Below are 20150 nucleotides of genomic sequence, written 5' to 3'. Positions count from 1 at the left end.
TTTCAAACTTTTAGACTCAGAAAATTTCATCAAAACATCAAGGTCAGAGACATAAGTTAGGCTGGACTTACATGAGCCAAGATTAGAAAATTATATGTAGAACCAAATCACCATATTTTTTATGAGAAACCGTTGTCATAGGCCTAAATTTCTCAAGTTCTCTATATGATTACCTAAGCATCTGTGAAGGCTGCTGTCACCCCACTTGAGCTTGGATACCATGTACTAGATCACCCCCTTGCATGAATGTCTTCCTCACCACAAGTGACTTCCACTCCCACTGCTAGGCTGCCCTCCCACAGGAAGAGCTTCCTCACCTTACATGTATTCTGACATCCCAAGCCCACTAGAGCTGCTTAGTGCAGGGTGTCCAAGCCCATGTGGGGTAAGGAGTGTGACCACATTGGAAGAAGGCCTGGTGTGGGTGTTTTCCCCACCTCACACAGATCTAGGCACCCCACTCTAGATTGCTGTGGCTACCCACCCTGCCAAGGTCACTGTTGACAGTGTGCTTTGTTTCTTTCACAAAGGTTTTGTTGCTTTTTAAAAGAACTGGAATGAAGATATTTAGAACCAACAAGATTTTCAAGGTCATGACCCTTCTTTTTTCTTCCATTATGGGGGAATAACCAGCAAAATTTGTTAAGCAAACAGTAAAGTAGTCCTCCCCTATCTGCCAGGAATAAGCAGTAAGACCCTCAGTGGATGCAAGAAACCACGGGTAGTACTGAAACTTATATACTGTATACTACTGTATACTATGCTTTCTCCTATATATACATACTTGTGATTAATTTATACATTAGGCATAGTAAGAGATTAACAATAATAACTAACAATAAAGTAGAATGGAGATGTGGCAAGATGGTGGAATAGGAACAGCTCTGGTTTTCAGCTCCCAGCGAGACCAATGCAGAAAGCAGGTGATTTCTGCATTTCCAACTGAGGTATCCTGTTCATCTCATTGGGACTTGTTAGGTGTGGGTGCAGTCCATGAAGGGTGAGCAGAAGCAGGGTGGGGCGTTGCCTCACCCAGAAAGTGCAAGGAGTGGGGGGCCTCCATTTCCCAGCCAAGAGAAGCTGTGAGGGACTGTGCTATCCAGTCCAGATACTACACTTTTCCCATGGTTTTTGCAATCCGCAGACCAGGAGATTCCCTTGTGTGCCTACACAACCAGGACCCTGGGTTTCAAGCACAAAACTGGGCAGCTATTTGGGCAGACACCAAGCTAGCTGCAGGAGTTTTTTGTTTTTGTTTTTGTTTTTGTACCCCAGTGGCACCTGGAACCCCAGTGAGACAGAACCGTTCACTCCCCTGGAAAGGGGGCTGAAGCCAGGGAGCCAAGTGGTCATGTTCAGTGGGTCCCACTCCCACAGAGCCCAGCAAGCTAAGAACCACTGGCTTGAAATTCTCACTGCCAGCACAGCAGTCTGAAATCCACCTAGGAAGATCGAGCTTGGTGGAGTAAGGGGTGTCCACCATTACTGAGGTTTGAGTAGGCGGTTTTCCCCTGACAGTGCTTAGGAGGCCAGGAAGGTTGGACTGGGCAGAACTCACCACAGTTTGGCAAAGTGGCTGTGGCCAGACTGCCTCTCTAGATTCCTCTTCACTGGGCAGGGCATCTCTGAAAGAAAGGCAGCAGCCCCAGTCAGGGGCTTATAGATAAAACTCCAATCTCCTTGGGACAGAGCAACTGGGGGAAGGGGTGGCTGTGGGCACAGCCTCAGCGGACTTAAACATTCCTGCCTGCTGGTTCTGAAGAGAGCAGCAGATCCTGACAAAGAGAGTTCTCCCAGCACAGCACTCGAGCTCTGCTAAGGGACAGACTGCCTTCTCAAGTGAATCCCTGATCCACATGCTTCCTGACGGGGAGAGATCTCCCAACAGGAGTTGACAGATACCTCATACAGGAGAGCTCCAGCTGACATCAGGCCAGTGCCCCTCTGGGATGAAGCTTCCAGAGGAAGGACCAGGAAGCAATCTTTGCTATTCTGCAGCTTCCGCTGGTGATATCCAGGTACATAGAGTCTGGAGTGGACCTCCAGCAAACTGCAGCAGACCTGCAGAGAGAGGCCTGACTGTGAGAAGAAAAGCTAACAAACAGCAATAACATCAACATCAACAAAAAGGACCCCCACACACATATAAAAAAAAAATCCCATCGAAAGTAAATCCATGAAGATGAGGAAAAAGCAGTGCAAAAATGCTAAAAATTTCAAAAACCAGAATGCTTCTTCTCCTTCAAATGATCACAGTTCCTCTCCAGCAAGGGTACAAAGCTGGACGGAGAATGAGTTTCACAAATTGACAGAAGTAGGCTTCAGAAAGTGGGTAATAACAAATTCCTCTGAGCTAAAGGATCATATTCTAACCCAATGCAAGGAAACTAAGAAACTTGAAAAAAGATTAGACTAATTGCTAACTAGAATAACCAGTTTAGAGAAGAACATAAAAGACCTGATGGAGCTGAAAAATACACCATGAGAACGTGACGCTAACACAAGTATCAATAGCAGAATCAATCAAGCAGAAGAAAGGATATGAGAGACTGAAGATCAACCTACTGAAATACTGTGTGAAGACAAGATTAGAGAAAAAAATTAAAAAGGAAAGAACAAAGCCTCCAAGAAATATGGTACTATGTGAAAAGACCAAGCCTATGATTGATTAGGGTCCCTGAAAGTGATGGAGAGAATGGAACCAAGCTGGAAAACACACTTCAGGGTATTAATCAGGAGAACTTCCCCAACCTGGCAAGAAAGGCCAACATTCAAATTCACAAAATACAGAGAACACCACTAAGATACTCCTCAAGAAGGGCAAGCACAAGACACATAATTGTCAGATTTTCCAAGGTTGAAATGAACGAAAAAATGTTAAGGCAGCCAGAGAGAAAGGTCAGGTTACCTACAAAGGGAAGCCCATCAGACTAACAGCGGATCTGTCTGCAGAAACCCCACAAGCCATAAGAGAGTGGGGACCAATATTCAACATTCTTAAAGAAAAGAATTTTCAACCCAGAATTTCATATTCAGCCAAATAAATTTTCATAAGCGAAAGAGAAATAAAATCCTTTACAGACAAGCAAATGCTGAGAGATTTTGTCACCACCAGCCATGTCTTACAAGATCTCCTGAAGGAAGCACTAAATATGGAAAAGAAAAACCAGTACCAGCCACTGCAAAAACACACCAAAATATAAAGACCAATGACATTATGAAGAAACTGCATCAACTAATGTGCAAAATAACCAGTTAGCATAATGATGACAGGATCAAATTCACACATAAAAATACCAACCTTAAATGTAAATGGGCTAAATGCCCCAATTAAAACGCACAGACTGGCAAATTGGATAAAGAGTCAAGACCCATTGGTGTGCTTTATTCAGGAGATTCATCTCACGGTGTAAAGACACACATAGGCTCAAAATAAAGAGATGGAGGAATATTTACCAGGCAAATGGAAAGCAAAAAAAAAAAAAGCAGGGGTTGCAATCTTGGTCTCTGATAAAACAGACTTTAAACCAACAAAGATCAAAAAAGACAAAGAAGGCCATTACATATTGGTAAAGGGATCAATTCAACAAGAAGAGCTAACTATCCTAAATATATATGCACCCAATACAGGAGCATCCAGATTCATAAAGCAAGTCCTTAGAGACCTACAAAGAGACTTAGACTCCCACACAATAATAGTGGGAGACTTTAACACCCCACTGTCAATATTAGACAGATCAACAAGATAGAAAATTAACAAGGATATTTGGGACTTGAACTCAGCTCTGGACCAAGCAGACCTAATGAACATCTACAGAACTCTTCACCCCAAATCAACAGAATATACATTCTTCTCATCACCACATCATACTTATTCTAAAATCAAACACATAATTGGAAGTAAAACACTCCTCAGCAAATGCAAAAGAAAGGAAATCATAAAAAACAGTCTCTCAGACCACAGTGCAATCAAATTAGAACTCAGGATTAAGAAACTCACTCAAAACCATGCAACTCCATGGAAACTGAACAACCCGCTCCTGAATGACTACTGGGAAAATAACGAAATTAAGGCAGAAATAAAGAAGCTTTTTAAAACCAATGAGAACAAAGAAACAACATACCAGAATATCTGGGGCACAGCTAAAGCAGTGTTAAGAGGGAAATTTATAGCACTAAATGCCCATATCAGAAAGCAAGAAAGATCTAAAATCGACACCCTAACATCACAATTAAAAGAACTAGATAACCAAGAGCAAACACATTCAAAAGCTAACAAAAGACAAGAAAGAACTAAGATCAGAGTGAAACTAAAGGAGAGAGAGACACGAAAAACCCTTCAAAAAATCAATGAATCCAGGGGCTGGTTTTTTGAAAAGATCAAAAAAATAGACCACTAGCCAGATTAATAGAGGAGAAAAGAGAGAAGAATCAAATAGACCCAATAAAAAAAGATAAACGGGATATCACCACTGATCCCATATAAATACAAACTGCCATCAGATAATACTATAAATACTTCTTTTTTTTTTTTTTCTTTTTGAGACGGAGTCTCGCTCTGTCGCCCAGGCTGGAGTGCAGTGGCGGGATCTCGGCTCACTGCAAGCTCCGCCTCCCGGGTTCACGCCATTCTCCTGCCTCAGCCTCCCAAGTAGCTGGGACTACAGGCGCCCGCCACTACGCCCGGCTAATTTTTTGTATTTTTAGTAGAGACGGGGTTTCACCGTTTTAGCCGGGATGGTCTCGATCTCCTGACCTCGTGATCCGCCCGCGTCGGCCTCCCAAAGTGCTGGGATTACAGGCGTGAGCCACCGCGCCCGGCCTACTATAAACACTTCTATGCCAATAAACTAGAAAATCTAGTAGAAATGGTTAAATTCCCGGACACATACATGCTCCCAAGACTAAACCAGGAAGAAGTCGAATCCCTGAATAGGCCAATAACAAATTCTGAAAATGAGGCAGTAATTAATAGCCTACCAAGCGAAAAAGGCCCAGGACCAGATGGATTCACGGCTGATTTCTACCAGAGGTACAAAGAGGAGCTGGTACCATTCCTTCTGAAACTGTTCCAATCAATAGAAAAAGAGGGACTCCTCCCTAACTCATTTTATGAAGCCAGCATTATCCTCATTCCAAAACCTGACAGAGACATAACAAAAAAAAAATTTTTCAGACCAATACCACTGATGAACATAGATGCAAAAATCCTCAATAAAATACTGGCAAACCAAATCCAGCAGCACATCAAAAAGCTTCTCCATCACGATCAAGTTGGCTTCATTCCTGGGATGCAAGGCTGGTTCAATATATGTAAATCAATAAACCTAATCCATCATGTAAACAGAACCAATGACAAAAACCACATGATTATCTCAATAGATGCAGAAAAGGCCTTCGATAAAATTCAACAACCCTTCACGCTAAAATCTCTCAATGAACTAGGTATTGATGATACATATCTCAAAATCATAAGAGCTATTTATAACAAACCTATAGCCAATATCATACTGAATGGGCAAAAGCTGGAAGCATTCCCTTTGAAAACTGGCACAAGACACAGATGCCCTCTCTCACCACTCCTATTCAACACAGTATTGGAAGTTCTAGCCAGGGCAATCAGGCAAGATAAAGAAATAAAGCATATTCAAATATGAAGAAAGGAAGTCAAATTGTCTGTTTGCAGATGACATGATTGTATATTTAGAAAACCCCATCATCTCAGCCCAAAAACTCCTTAAGCTGATCAACTTTAGCAAAGTTTCAGGATACAAAATAAATGTGCAAAAATCACAAGCATTCCTGTACACCAACAGTAGTCAAGCCAAGAGTCAAATCATGAGTGAACTCCTATTCACAATTGCTACAAAGAAAATAAAATACCTAGGAATACAACTTACAAAGGATGTGAAGGACCTCTTCAAGGAGAACTACAAACCATTGCTCAAGGAAATAAGAGAGGACACAAACAAATGGAATAAAATTCCATGCTCATAGATAGGAAAAATCAATATCATGAAAATGGCCATAGTACCCGAAGTAATTTATAGATTCAATGCTATTCCCATCAAGCTACCAACAAGACACCAGGAAAGTCAATGGTAGACTTTCCTCACAGAACTAGAAAAAACTACTTTAAATTTCATATAGAACCAAAACAGAGCCCATATAGCCAAGACAATCCTAAGCAAAAAGAACAAAGCTGGAGGCATCACGCTACCTGACTTCAAACTATACTACAAGGCTACAGTAGCCAAAACAGCATGGTACTGGTAGCAAAACAGATCAAAACAGATACATAGACTAATGGAACAGAACAGAGGCCTCAGAAATAACACCACACATCTACAACCATCTGACAAACCTGACAAAAACAAGAAATGGGAAAGGATCCCCTATTTAATAAATAGTGCTAGGAAAACTGGCTAGTCATATGCAGAAAACTGAAACTGGACCCCCCTTCCTTACACCTTATACAAAAATTAATTCAAGATGGGTTAAAGACTTAAACATAAAACCTAAAAGCATTAAAACCCTAGAAGAAAACCTAGGCAATACCATTCAGGACATAGGCATGGGCAAAGACTTTATGACTAAAACACCAAAAGCAATGGCAATAAAACCCAAATTTGACAAATGGGATCTAATTAAACTAAAGCGCTCCTGCACAGCAAAAGAAACTATCATCAGAGTGAACAGACAACCTACAGAATGGGAGAAAAATTTTGCAATCCATCCATCTGACAAAGGGCTAATATCCAGAATCTACACAGAACTTAAACAAATTTACAAGAAAAAAACAACCCCATCAAAAATGAGCAAAGGATGTGAACAGACACTTCCCAAAAGAAGACATTTATGCAGCTAATGAAAATGTGAAAAAAAAACTCATCATCACTGGTCATTAGAGAAATGCAAATCAAAACCAAATGGGATACCATCTCACACCAGTTAAAATGGTGATCATTAAAAAGTCAGAAAACAACAGATGCTGATGAGGATGAGGAGAAATAGGAATGCTTTTACACTGTTGGTGGGAGTGTAAATTAGGTCAACCATTGTGGAAGACAGTGTGGTGACTCCTCAAGGATCTAGAACAAGAAATACCATTTGACCCAGCAATCCCATTACTGGGTATAGACCCAAAGGATTAGAAATCATTCTACTATAAAGATACATGTACATGTATGTTTATTGCAGCAGTATTTACAATAGCAAAGACTTGGAACCAACCCAAATGCCCATCAATGATAGACTGGATAAAGAAAATGTGGCACATATACACCATGGAATACTATGCAACCATAAAAGAGAATGAGTTCATGTCCTTTGCAGGGACATGGATGAAGCTGGAAACCATCATTCTCAGCAAACTAACACAGGAACAGAAAACCAAACACCACATGTTCTCACTCGTAAGTGGGAGTTAAACAATGAGAACACATGGACACAAGGAGGGGAACATTACACACTGGGGCCTATTGGGGGGTGGGGGGCAAGAGGAGGGAGAGCATTAGGACAAATACCTAATGCATGCAGGGCTTAAAACCTAGATGATGGGTTGATAGGTGTGGCAAACCACCATGGCACATGTATACCTATGCAACAAACCTGCACGTTCAGCACATGTATCCCAGAACTTAAAGTAAAATAAAAAAACTAGAACAATTATAACAATATATTCTAATAAACGTTATGTAAATCTGGTTTCTCTCTTAAAATATCTTACTGTTTTCAGAGCACTGTTGACCATGGGTAACCAAAACTGCAGAAATTGAAACTGCAGATAAAGGAAGACTATTGTACAAGGATATCAGAAATGTGTCCTAGACAGAAATGTGAGGATACTATTTGGCTCCCTGGCATCAGTTTTTAGTTCACATGGAATTAGTAATTCACTAAAGAGATTGTCTTCCTGGAAAACTAACCCTCCTTCCATTCATAGTATATAAAGTTTAGACAAAGCAGATCTCAGTCTATCCAAAAGCTATGCCCAAGGCTTATACCAATCAAAGTAGCTTCAACTCTTCTCTGACGAATCCTTCATGCACCTAACGCAATGTGGCAGATTGTACTTTCTGTAATGACTGCCACTGCACATCTCCCATCCCAGCAGCTCTCCTTACATGACTTCAACACTCCTCTCACTGAGAGGCAAAGTCTATGTCCCTTTCTTTTAAATCTGGGTGGGGGCTTTAGATTGCTCCAAGCAATGGAATGTTGTAGAATGGATACCATATGACTTCAAAGTCTAGGTAACAAAAAGGACACAGCTTCTGCCTGGCTCACTTTTTGGGAGGATGATCACTCTGGGAAACCCAGCCACCAAGTGGTGAGAAACAATACCATGCAGTGAAGCAACATAGGGAGGCCGCCATGAAGAAGACATGAAGCTCCCAGCAACTACTGCTGAACCTGTGAGTGAGTGAACCTTCAAATGATTCCAGCCTCCAGGCTTCAAGTTGCCCCTGCTGACATGGAGGGGAGCAGTGACAAGCTATCAACACCAACCCTGATCCAAATTGCAGGCTCGTGGGCAAGGTAAATATTGTTATTGTTTTAAATGACTAAAATCTTTAGTGCTGAAGCACACCTTCTTCTGCATTTCTCCACATCATTCTTTCCATTCCTCTAAGCATGGCCTTCACCATCCTTATCTAATCACTAGTGTTTTTGTGTCCTCCAACAGAGCCAAGGAATCTCATCTCCAGTATCTGTGAGTCTCACACAGAAAAGGACCCCATAAGAGCTGTAGAAAAATCTTTGACCCTCTTTTTTTCCAGATTCCATGGAATTTAGTGGTGTAGTGGTTAATATCAGATGCTCTGGAATCAAGCTATGATGCTCAAACCCTGGCTACTCCCTCCTCACAGTGTGAGATTGAGCAAGTTACTTAACTTCTCTTGATCACAACTTTTTCATGTAAAAATAGAGATAGTATCAATACCTACCTTGCATAATTTCTGGGATAATTCTATGATAGGAAGAACATAAAGTACTTAAAAACATAAGGACTCAGTAAATTCTAGTTGTTGTTATGATATAGAGTATTTTCTCATTTATTCAGCAAACTAATTAGCCACATACTCTTTCTAAGGTACATTTTAAGTTTTTTTCTTGCACTTGTCACTGTGTTTCATTTCAATCAACTTTAACATAATCAAGCCACAGATTTTTTGGCCATTATTTTATCTTCAGTTGTTTATTGATTGTTTAGTTAGGCAGGCCAGTTAGAAATGTGATGAGCTCTGATATCCCCGAGCTTACAGGCACCAGCTCTCCTCAAAATATTAGAGAAAATGTATCCCAGCTCACATGTTTTGCACATCTGTGTTCTTCTGACCCTATGACTCAGCCCTGACTGCCATTAGACCCCCTGATCTGACCCCAAATGACAAACTATATACATAATCTCTCCCTGGCACCTATACTCAGCATGTGGAGTGAGCCAGCTTAGCCAGTATCATCCAGCACATCACACACAGCTCCTGGGGCCCCAGACCGGTTACCTTAGGATATTCTTTCCATCAGCCAGCCACTAGGTGAGTGGACCGGAAACAAAAGCACTAAAGCTAAGGTGGCTGTACAAATTCTGAATCAGATGAGTGCGGAAACATCACTAACACAACAAACACATAATAAGTACTGTCAATAATAGAAACTGTAAATTTAAAAAAGAAATAGAAAAGAAACACAAAACATGACTTCTTTTTAACTTTCCTTCACAGCCAATGAGTCAAGTCTTCTTCCATCATCAGAGGAGGTGAAGATGCAGAAGAGAGCGGCCACACTTGAAGAGTGAATGAGAGCAGCAGGAGCCCCAGGGGAGGGACCTTGCCTCTTCAGAAGACTGAAGCAGTGACAAGCGAAAAGAAGAAACCTTAGTAAACTGATTAAAGAGAGTTCACCTCCTCCATAAGACACAGGCCAGACCTGGATAATAAGGAGGGTCATAGATAGCCCTGGAAATAGATGTTATTTTCCTTGCAATACATCACTTTGGCCCACTGTGCCTTGGGCTGCCCCTCGAGTGCCCAGGCACCCAAGCACCTCTGAGCTTTTCTCTCAGGACGTTCTCTGGAGCTATAAAAATTTGTTCTGTCCAAGAGCAGTCTTAGCCCTCAAGTGAGAAAGAATTAATGCTCCTAGAGACAAATTTCAACCACCTGGAAACAGGAATTACCAGGCAAATGACCCAGCCTCCTGAATTTTGGAAAGACAATGCTGACATCCATTCTTTATGGATTCTCAAAGAGTCCCCAGCAGGATTCAGCTCCAGATACCCACAGCAATAGGTAGCTCAGTAATGCACTCATGGTTAGCTCTCCTTATTTTCCCTGTTTCATTCTTCCTACTTCCTCGCTCCAGTCTCTTGGAATTATCTCAGAAAAAAAATTAATTACCTCTAACTAAATCCTTGTCTCGGCCTGTTTGTTGAACAAAAGACTCAAACTAAAATCCAACTGTATTGGGTTGAATAGTGTCCCCCCAAAGTTTATGTTCACCCACCACCTATGAATGTGACAGCATTTGGAAGCAGGGTTTTGCAGATGTAACTAAGTTAGAATAAGTTCATACTTGATTAAGAGGGACCCTAATCAAATGACTGGCATCACTTTAAAACAGGTAAATGTGGACACAGACACACAGGGAAGATCACCCAGCAACAGATACAGAGATTGGAGCAATGCATCTACAAGCCGAGGCAGTGGCAAGGATTGCTGATACCCCTAGAAGCTAGGAGAAGCATGGGACAGACTTTGCCAGACACTTCCAGAAAGAACCAACTCTGCTGATACCTTGATTTCAGGCTTCTGGCCTCCAGAACAGTGAAAGAATCAATTTCTGTTGCCTGCTGCCAGCAGTTTGTAATACTTTGTTATAACAGCACTAAGAAATTAATACCCCAGAGTGTCTTAGTCAGGGTCCAAGAAGACAGAAACCACTCCAAATATTTGCAAACAAAAGGAGTTTATTCCAGGGAACTGATTACATGACAGGAGCCAAAGAGGGTAAAATGAATCAACCGAGAGATTAGCAATAGCAGGAAGCCACTACCACACCTAGCTGGAGGCATGGAGGGAGCAAGCAGTGTTGCCAGGACCCTGATCACCTGGCAGAATATGAAACCATATCTAGCCTGCCAGGTGAGAGCTGGAGCCAGGAGGAGAGCAGAGGAGTCATCCTGAAACAGTCCGCAAGCTAAGAAGAAAGAGTGGGAAGGAAAAAGACCCTAATTCTTCAGCACCACCCATTGGCTTGGTCCAAGAAGACAGAGCTGTCAGACAGAGAAATCTGTGTGATGTAGACTGTGTCACAGAGAAGAGCAGCAGGAAGATGAGGGCTGGATCTGAAAGCTACCTGGGCAAGGATCCAAACCAACAACTCCACTCCAACCCCATGAGACTCAAAGGAGGAGAGTTTAAGCTTTTGCTGTTTTTTAAATAAATTACTAGGATCCATAATAATACCAGTAAAAGGTGAGATCTGAAGGATGAGAGACACTATGAAGAAACAGTGTGAGACAGTAATAATGCACTGATGATCATGGCAGTACAAAAAATGGGAAGTCCTTCATGAGTCAGGTTTCTTTAAACCCACATGCAACTCCCACTTAGATGGACACAACAGTATGTGAAGACTCATACTGTGTTCTTTTGTTCCAAGAACCACCACGGGAACACACCAGGAAAACCAAAGGAATTCACACACCCTTTGAAAGAAGCAGGACACTGCTGCAAATTTTGCAAAACAGGTGAAAAACTGTAAGTTCCCAAAGTGTGAGAGGGAAAAAACCTGCCTCTGAACACACATCCCCACTGGGGAATCTGAAAATCCAGATCAAGGGAGAATTTAACCTTACCTTGAACTGAAACAAATGTAGGCAGTCACACAAAATATAAAAGTAGAAGTATCAGTATCAGAAGACTGCAAGGCACTTCCAATCTTCAGCTTGAGCCCAGGGAAGCCATTCCTGACTATATCTCACAGGATCTCTCAGGGAAGGCAGCCAGTGGAATTGGGGAGGGGTCACCAGGTGAAGGAAGCTTCCAACTGAAATTGGTAGTGGTTTCAATTGGACACAAACTTTCTTTAGTGGAGTCTAGGGGACGAGTGGGAGCTTTGGCAATATGAGCACATGAACTCAGAAGCAAAGAAGCCACTCCCGTTGGAGTGGGCAGATGGGGAGGGGTGATATCTGAAATCCATGCTTGCTTTCTCAGTGGGAAAGTTCACAGCCTTGGGCAAGATCTGAGTGGGGCACTTTGGGAGTGAGACTGGCCTTGCCAACTGTGTGGGAGCTGGGTGAGACCTCTCGCTACCAGCTTTCCGCCACTTCCCTGGTGAATTATATGACACAACAGAGGTAGCCAAGATCCCCTCTGGAAAATAACCCCATTGGCCTAAGAACCACCCCCACATCCCGCACAGTGGCCACAGCAAACCCCACCCAAGGAGACTCTGAGCCCAGACCCACCTAACCCTGCCCCAACATGATGGTATTTCTTTACTCACCCTGGTAACCAAACACAAAAGATAGAAACTCTTGGGAGCTTTCAGGCCCCACCCATCATCTGAGAAACCAAAATACTCACCCTGGCCAACTTAGGGCAAACCTAGATCCCTCTACTACCAATGCAGCTGGTGCTCTCTTGAAAGCACCACTTCTTGGCTGGAGGCCAAACAACACAGGCCATTACAGCAACTCATGACAGAATAACCCTGAACCCAGGAAGGAGAAGATAACACCTAATTCCAATGCCTGCAACATCCTGGCTAAACAGAGGTCCTGAGTGTGTCCACATGAAAACTTCACTGCTAGCATAACCAGCATTCAAGAAACCCAGCACACTACACATATCTACAACCAAGGACTCTCACAGAGTCTACTTCACTCCCCTTCCACCTCCACCAGAGCAGGTAATGGTATCCATGGCTGGGAGACCTGAAGAGAGATCACATCACAGGACTCTTTGCAGACATTCCCCAGCACCAGCTGGAACCTGGTAGCGCCACTGGGAGGCTAGACCCAGAAAAGCAGTAACAGCCAATGCAGTCCAGTGGTCAGAAAGTCCCATCCCTAGGGGAAGGGGGAGAGCACCACATCAAAGGATCACCCCATGGGATAATAGAATCTGAACAGCAGGACTTGAGTTCCAGACCTTTCCACTGAAATAGTCTACCCAAATGATAAGGAACTAGAAAGGTAATTCTGGTAATATGATAAAACAGAGTTCTATATCACCTCCAAAAGATCACACTAGCTCCCCAGCAATGGATCCAAACCAAGAAGAAATCTCTGAATTGCCAGATAAACAATCCAGAAGATCATTAAGCTACTCAAGGAGATACCAGAGAAAGGTGAAAAAACAACTTTAAAAATTAAAAAATATATATATACATAAATATAGGATATGGGTGAAAAATTCCCCAGAGAAATAGATATCATAAAGAAAAAATAATCACAACTTCTGGAAATGAAAGCCATGCTTAGAGAAATACAAAATCCACTGGAAAGTTTCAACACTAGACTAGAACAAGCGGAAGAAAAAACTTCAGAGCGCAAAGACAATGCTTTCAAATTAACCCAATCAAACAAAGACTAAGAAAAAATAATTTTTAAAAAATGAACAAAGCCTCCAAGAAATGTGGGATTATGTTAAACAGTCAAACCTAAGAATAATTGGTGTTCCTGAGGAAGAAGAGAAATCTAAAAGCTTGAAAACCTTATTTGAGGAAATAATTGAAGAAAACTCCCCTGTCCTTGCTAGATACCTAGACATCCAAATACAAGAAGCTCAAAGAACACCTGGAAAATTCATCACAAAAAAGTCTATCACCTAAAGTCCTATCCCAGTTCTGTTAAAGTAATAGCAGGAATAGCACCTTATAAATACCTAGAAAAATAGTAGAAGGAAACATGCTTAAGCATTAATAATGATCTCCGGTGGTAGAATTTTTGGTAAGTTTAATTTTATCATTTACATGTTCCTACTTAACTATACATATATATTTATATATATTCATATACATAAATATACAAACATATGTATATATACACATTTTTGTTTATGGACAGCCTATGACTGTGAGCCAAGGGACATCAGAGACATGGCTCTCTGGAAACTGAGAGAATACTTAGTGGACAGTTTTTTGTTTGTTTGTTTGTTTGTTTTTGAGATGGAGTCTCGCTCTGTCACCCAGGCTGGAGTGCAGTGGCGCGATCTCAGCTCACTGCAAGCTCCACCTGGGTTGACGCCATTCTCCTGCCTCCGCCTCCCAAGTAGCTGGAACTACAGGAGCCCGCCACCACGCCCGGCTAATTTTTTGTATTTTTAGTAGAGATGGGGTTTCACCATGTTAACCAGGATGGTCTCGATCTCCTGACCTCGTGATCCACCCGTCTTGGCCTCCCAAAGTGCTAGGATTACAGGCATGAGCCACCGCGCCCGGCCTTAGTGAACAATTATTATCAGGATGATCAGCATCCATTTTTCCATCACCTGGCAACAACAACTAGCATTTCTCAAGGGAAATCCCCTCCTCATTCATAAGCACCATAGATGGAGTGGAACAGTCCCCACCTCAGCTTAAGGAGGGCTAAATAACCAAAGCATAAAGCAATCAGTCCACTACACTTCAGTGGACCCAATGATGACTCATTTTGGTTCAATAAATATCAAGTCCAGAACTTTTGTGCAGAACTGTGGAATAAAAAAAGTTATCTTTGTCACAGAATATTTATATTTAAAGAGGGGATTCTAAATATCCCAAAAATATGAATCTGAGATAGTGGTAAGATAGGAATGGGTTGCCATTTGCAGTATTTGTTGGGTGTGTGCAACTCTGCATACTGCTAAGGCAAGTCCAGCCTCCGTCTCACACCAACAGGCAGATTTCCCCACCACGGCCCTTACCATCTTGTGCTCTAACCCCAGATTTTCAGTCTACTCTTGCTAACCATCAATTCTTCAAGGGCAAGAGCCATGTCTCTCATATCCCTGGATCTGGCTTGCTAAATAATTATTCATGATTTTATCTGAGTAGAAAAAGAGCCAAGAACTGAGAAAAGGAGACATTCTTGGTTCTCAGTCACTGAGGAGCTTCTGCAGTACCAGCCTTTCTGCTAGCTGCAGCCACAGCTTCAACAGCTCCACCTCCTTGTTCTTTATTCTTGCTTTCACCTTGTTACTCAGCAGCAGGGGTGTAAATGTGACAGTGCCATGTCAACTTAAACCAAACCAGATAATTTTAATAAACCACCTTCTATAATGACACCCATCAAAACCAGAAGGGGACAAGTCTAGGAGGTCTCTGAGTTTACTGTACCCATCCCTCCTTCATCTCCCTCCAGCATTTGTTTCTGGAAGGAGTCAACACCAACAGCTCTGACCTGGGCAGCCTTCCTGAGAAAATGCAGCCATTCCTCCTCCTGTTGGCCTTTCTTCTGACCCCTGGGGCTGGGACAGGTAAGTGACTATCCCTATTCCAGAGGCCTGAACCCATCTTATAAGATACCCTGTACCCATGAGCACTGGTCAGGAATTTTCCTCAATCTGAGCCCACCTCCCATTCCACACCCAGACTTATAAATCTGAGGCTAGATAGACACTCAGCAAAGATCGAAAAATGAAGGGTGTTCCCTAAAAGGTTTAATGGGTGTTAGCCTCTCCCTAGACCTCTCCTTTATGACCTGGAGTGTGGATTGTTCTTAGAAAGGCATTTGGTAGGGAATGTGAAGCTAAAAAAGATAAGTAATTATTACTCTACACTCCAACCCAGGAAAGAGGAGCTCAGACACCAAGTTGCAGTCATAGGAGTTGTTACTGGACTCAGCTTAAGAACCACTTATTCAGTGCCCCCACCCAGTCACCCCTGCCAGGAGGGAAGCCCATGGTGCAACTGATCTCAGAGATGGCAAGATGACTGTGTCCATAGCTCTCCCATTACCTTGGCTCCACCTGGGCTTTGCGATTCATTTTTAGTTGATTTCTCCACTTCCTTCTGCCTTTGCAGGCCCTCAGCTACTCCACTGACCTGGTGATAACCCCCTCTAACATCCCTGAGGTCCTGAATCCCACCAGCACTACCCCCACTAAACCTCAGCCAAAGGCTAATTGGAGGCTATTCATTTATGCACCAAACAACACTTACTGAGAACCTAGAATGTGTTCAGCCCTGGCACATGAGAATTTTAGAAAATCCAACTCCAGAAGCTCATGGGTAGATCATTAGAAAATGGCACCAATCAGGAGGACAGCAGAGGCTCAGAGGAATCAGAGAGACTCACTAAAAAGGAGGAGCCTGGGAAGTCCTGTCCAGGATCCTCTGGGGCTCTACCACTGTGAAAATAGATCTTTCTTCCTCCATGTGTGTTTCTGCAGTAGGATGCAGAAGTCAAGCACTGTCCATTCTTTCTGAGAGAAGGTTCTGAGACTTAAAGTTCAGAAAAGCTTGCTCTGCCTGCAAGGAGTACTGCCTGCAGAGCTCAGGAGGACCCCTCCCTCACTGTCTGCAGCACACAAAACACTTCACCCTCAATCACTGTCGTCCTAAGCCTTCTCTCCTGACTGCAGCCATCCCCAGCTACTTTATCTTCCAGTCTTTCCTTTCAGAGGAGATCATCGGGGGCCATGAGGCCAAGCCCCACTCCCGCCCCTACATGGCCTTTGTTCAGTTTCTGCAAGAGAAGAGTCGGAAGAGGTGTGGCGGCATCCTAGTGAGAAAGGACTTTGTGCTGACAGCTGCTCACTGCCAGGGAAGGTAAGGAGCAGCACCAGCTCACCTCCTGAGTTCCCCCTACAGGGACCCTTGTTTTCTCCTGGGGACTGCAGCCCAGGGGAGCTTCCAGAGTTCCTGGTAACACAAGCCCATGAAAGCTCATCGGAGCAGCCACCTGGGAATAGGACTAAGATGATGAAAGGCTGAGAAATAGGACAGGGTCAGAGGGTCAGAGGGTCAGAGGTCAGAGCAAGTGGCATGGTTTCACACACTGGCCCAATAAGGCAGTAGTAAAGGTTGAATCCATGCATTAAGGATCAAAATGCAAACTCGAGCAATTTCATGATATTTCCTGAAGGCAAGAGAGAGCCCCCAGAAGCCCTACTCTTCATGTCTTTGTGAAGTAGAGGGCACAGTCACTCAGCCCTGGAGCCCTCCTGTCCCTTCAACTTCCCCTCAGCTGCAGCCCTACCCTGCCACAGCTGTCATCTGCTCTTCACTGCTCCTGGGCTCTATCCCCTGTGACTCCACCCCCATCCTCACTCTGCTCTCTGTGCAGCTCCATAAATGTCACCTTGGGGGCCCACAATATCAAGGAACAGGAGCGGACCCAGCAGTTTATCCCTGTGAAAAGACCCATCCCCCATCCAGCCTATAATCCTAAGAACTTCTCCAACGACATCATGCTACTGCAGGTGAGGCACACTCCTGCCACTCTTGCTCTTCTTGGTCCAGTTGGTTCCACTCCCACTGGGATGCCGGCCCTTTCCTCCTTTCCATCCTGACCTCTTGGTCAGTTCCTGTGCCTTAGAGGAGAGGGAAGATTGTGCAGCCCCATCACTGTGTCGGGGCCCAGAAGGCCATTGCCTGACCTGGACTTTCTTGCTTCTTCCCCACCAGCTGGAGAGAAAGGCCAAGTGGACCACAGCTGTGCGGCCTCTCAGGCTACCTAGCAGCAAGGCCCAGGTGAAGCCAGGGCAGCTGTGCAGTGTGGCTGGCTGGGGTTATGTCTCAATGAGCACTTTAGCAACCACACTGCAGGAAGTGTTGCTGACAGTGCAGAAGGACTGCCAGTGTGAACGTCTCTTCCATGGCAATTACAGCAGAGCCACTGAGATTTGTGTGGGGGATCCAAAGAAGACACAGACCGGTTTCAAGGTTGGGTTTCCAGCCTCTACCCAGAAAGACCACAGGGAGAGAGGAACTTGAGGGAGTTCTGGGGTATGACAGTGGCCAGATCTTTATGCTCTCAGCCCAGAGCTTGGGCAGCCTGTGTCCCCCTGGAATCTAGTCTTTAGTCCACTCCTTGGGTGGACTGGGGTGGCTGGAGGGGAAGGATCTGTCATCCGACAGTCACTTATCACCAAAGTGTCCGTGAGAATTGCAGAGAAAGGCTTGGTCTGGGGAGAGCCAGAAAGCACAGCCAGGGCCATGCTGGAGACCCAGGACTGAGGGAGGTGAGTGACAAGGCCTGCCTGGCACTGATGTCACACAAAATCCATAACAGAGACCACCCATCCCAGGGAACACTAGCTCAGTCTTTCCTCTCTCTGTTCACAGGGGGACTCCGGGGGGCCCCTCGTGTGTAAGGACGTAGCCCAAGGTATTCTCTCCTATGGAAACAAAAAAGGGACACCTCCAGGAGTCTACATCAAGGTCTCACACTTCCTGCCCTGGATAAAGAGAACAATGAAGCGCCTCTAACAGCAGGCATGAGACTAACCTTCCTCTGGGCCTGACCATCTCTGGGACAGAGGCAAGAATCCCCAAGGGGTGGGCAGTCGGGGTTGCAGGACTGTAATAAATGGATCTCTGGTGTAAATATGACTGAAGTCTTATTTATTCACTGAACCATCTTCAATATGCAACAACACTGCTCCAGGCAGCCGTCTGCTGTCAGTTCTGGCTTTTGCTTCTTCCTTTCTCCCCCAGCCCTCCCTCCTCCCTAAACCCCATGCTGTACAGTTTTTTCACTAATTTCTCAATCACATGTCTTTGATACTGAACCCTCTGTTAGAGCTGGTTTGAACTCCATTATAAACAAACAATCTTCACCCCTCTCCCTTCACAAAAAAAAATAAACCTCTCTGGACGTTAGGAATTTCTTATCGTCTCTAAACCAACTACCTACTCCCCTAACAACGTAGCAGAGAATGGAGCAGGGCAGTGGAAAGGAAATAACTCCAGGGACTCAGAAGGCCAGGGGCCATGCCATGAGTACTCAGTTTCCTATTTTCAGGGCCTGTCCCTCCAATGGGGGCAGGCTTCTCCCACAGCCAGGTCTGCCTGCAGCTTAGGAGGTTGAGATGCTCCTCTGCACCTAGGTCCCTCTTCCCTGCCCTGGGCCCAGCCCTGAGCTCAGTCAACCTTCTTCCTTCCTGGCCGGCCTTCCCAGCTCCCAAGAGTTTTTCACCCAAGTGCCCTGGCTACCAGTTTCTTTCCCTTCTAGATCACCCTGTTCTGAAGCCAGCCTCTCTCTCATGTCCCTAACAGAGTTCCCAGCTCTGTGTGAATTCTTCTCTACTGCTTGTCCCAGCCAGACCTCGGCTGCCAGCCCACCTGATGCTGATCAGAGGAGCCAGCTCTCACCTTCCACCTGGGCAGGGCTAGCTGAGGCCCTCAGTCCAGTGCAGCTTTCCCCAGGGTCTCAGGCATCACCTTCTGGGGAGCCACCCAGCAGCCTCAACATCTTTCAGCCTAGCCTGGCTTCAGACCCAGACTCCCCCTGTTGGCAATCTGGGGTTATGGCAGCTGTGCACCAGAGGGCTCCAGGGCCACTGGGCTGGAAGTAACACTATGCCAGTTATCAATAGACTAATACTTGCTGATCTCTCTCTTTGTGCCAGGCATATAATAGGCCCTGTCCCTGCTTTTGGAAATTTTACAATGATAAAAAGTTTCATCTCAATTCTCCTGGTTCCTCTGCTTCTACCAGGCAGGTCAGTTTGGCACAAACGGATCTGTATTTATAATCTACAAGAAATCTTGTTTTAAAAATAATTAAATTATCTATATTCTACCTGTAGTGTTCATTACAGCCTCACATGCATGATCTGGCTTGATTCCAGAAGGACAGTGTGTGAAATTAGAAGAGACTTGGAGATTCTCAGGTCCTAAAGTTTTTAATCTATGCTCAGTGGAGTCTGTGTCCAGAGGTGTGGAAGTGTATTAGTCTGTTCTCACATTGCTAATAAGAACTTACCTGAGATTGGGTAATTTATAAAGGAAAGAGGTTTAGTTGACTCACAATTCCACATGGCTGGAGAGGCCTCACAATCATGGCGGAAGGTGAATTAAAAGCAAAGTCATGTCTTACATGGCGGCAGGCAAGAGAACTTGTGCAGGGAACTCCCCTTTATAAAACCATCAGATCTCGTGAGACTTATTCACTATCACGAGAACAGCACAGGAAAAACTGGCCCCCCCGA

At 44.2% G+C, this 20150-nt stretch overlaps 1 protein-coding gene across 3 annotated transcripts, besides 1 other annotated feature; it reads left to right on the top strand.

Moving 5' to 3' along the window:
• The first annotated feature begins 15343 nt into the window (after positions 1-15343).
• GZMH (granzyme H) lies at positions 15344-18549 on the top strand. 3 transcript variants are annotated; one of them, NM_001270780.2, is made up of 5 exons: positions 15344-15470; positions 16617-16764; positions 17282-17417; positions 17623-17688; positions 18283-18549. In NM_001270780.2, exons 1-5 carry the CDS (start codon positions 15416-15418, stop codon positions 18424-18426), a joined length of 549 nt encoding a protein of 182 aa, NP_001257709.1. In that variant the 5' UTR covers positions 15344-15415; the 3' UTR covers positions 18427-18549. The 3 variants fall into 3 exon arrangements, with proteins under 3 accessions (NP_001257709.1, NP_219491.1, NP_001257710.1); NM_033423.5 differs by having other exon boundaries at positions 17623-17880; NM_001270781.2 differs by lacking the exon at positions 17623-17688.
• Positions 18763-19262: an enhancer, noted in NCBI's record as "H3K4me1 hESC enhancer chr14:25074973-25075472 (GRCh37/hg19 assembly coordinates)". NCBI's record gives its function as "activates a minimal SCP1, AML or CMV promoter by ChIP-STARR-seq in primed H9 embryonic stem cells {active_cell/tissue: H9 hESC(primed)}" and the evidence as "EXISTENCE:reporter gene assay evidence [ECO:0000049][PMID:30033119]".

Source organism: Homo sapiens, chromosome 14 (genome assembly GCF_000001405.40).
Source record: "Homo sapiens chromosome 14, GRCh38.p14 Primary Assembly".
In the NCBI taxonomy this organism is placed as follows: Eukaryota; Metazoa; Chordata; class Mammalia; order Primates; family Hominidae; genus Homo; species Homo sapiens.
Note: the sequence above shows the minus strand (reverse complement) of the source record. Positions and strands in the feature narration are given on the sequence as shown.

Bases quoted from the DNA above. Each gene is read 5' to 3' on its own strand.
- GZMH (NM_033423.5), top strand. From the start codon at position 15,416: ATGCAGCCATTCCTCCTCCTGTTGGCCTTTCTTCTGACCCCTGGGGCT. The intron at 16,765-17,281 runs GTAAGGAGCAGC...CTCTCTGTGCAG, and splicing joins GCTGCTCACTGCCAGGGAAG to CTCCATAAATGTCACCTTGG. The intron at 17,418-17,622 runs GTGAGGCACACT...CTTCCCCACCAG, and splicing joins ACGACATCATGCTACTGCAG to CTGGAGAGAAAGGCCAAGTG.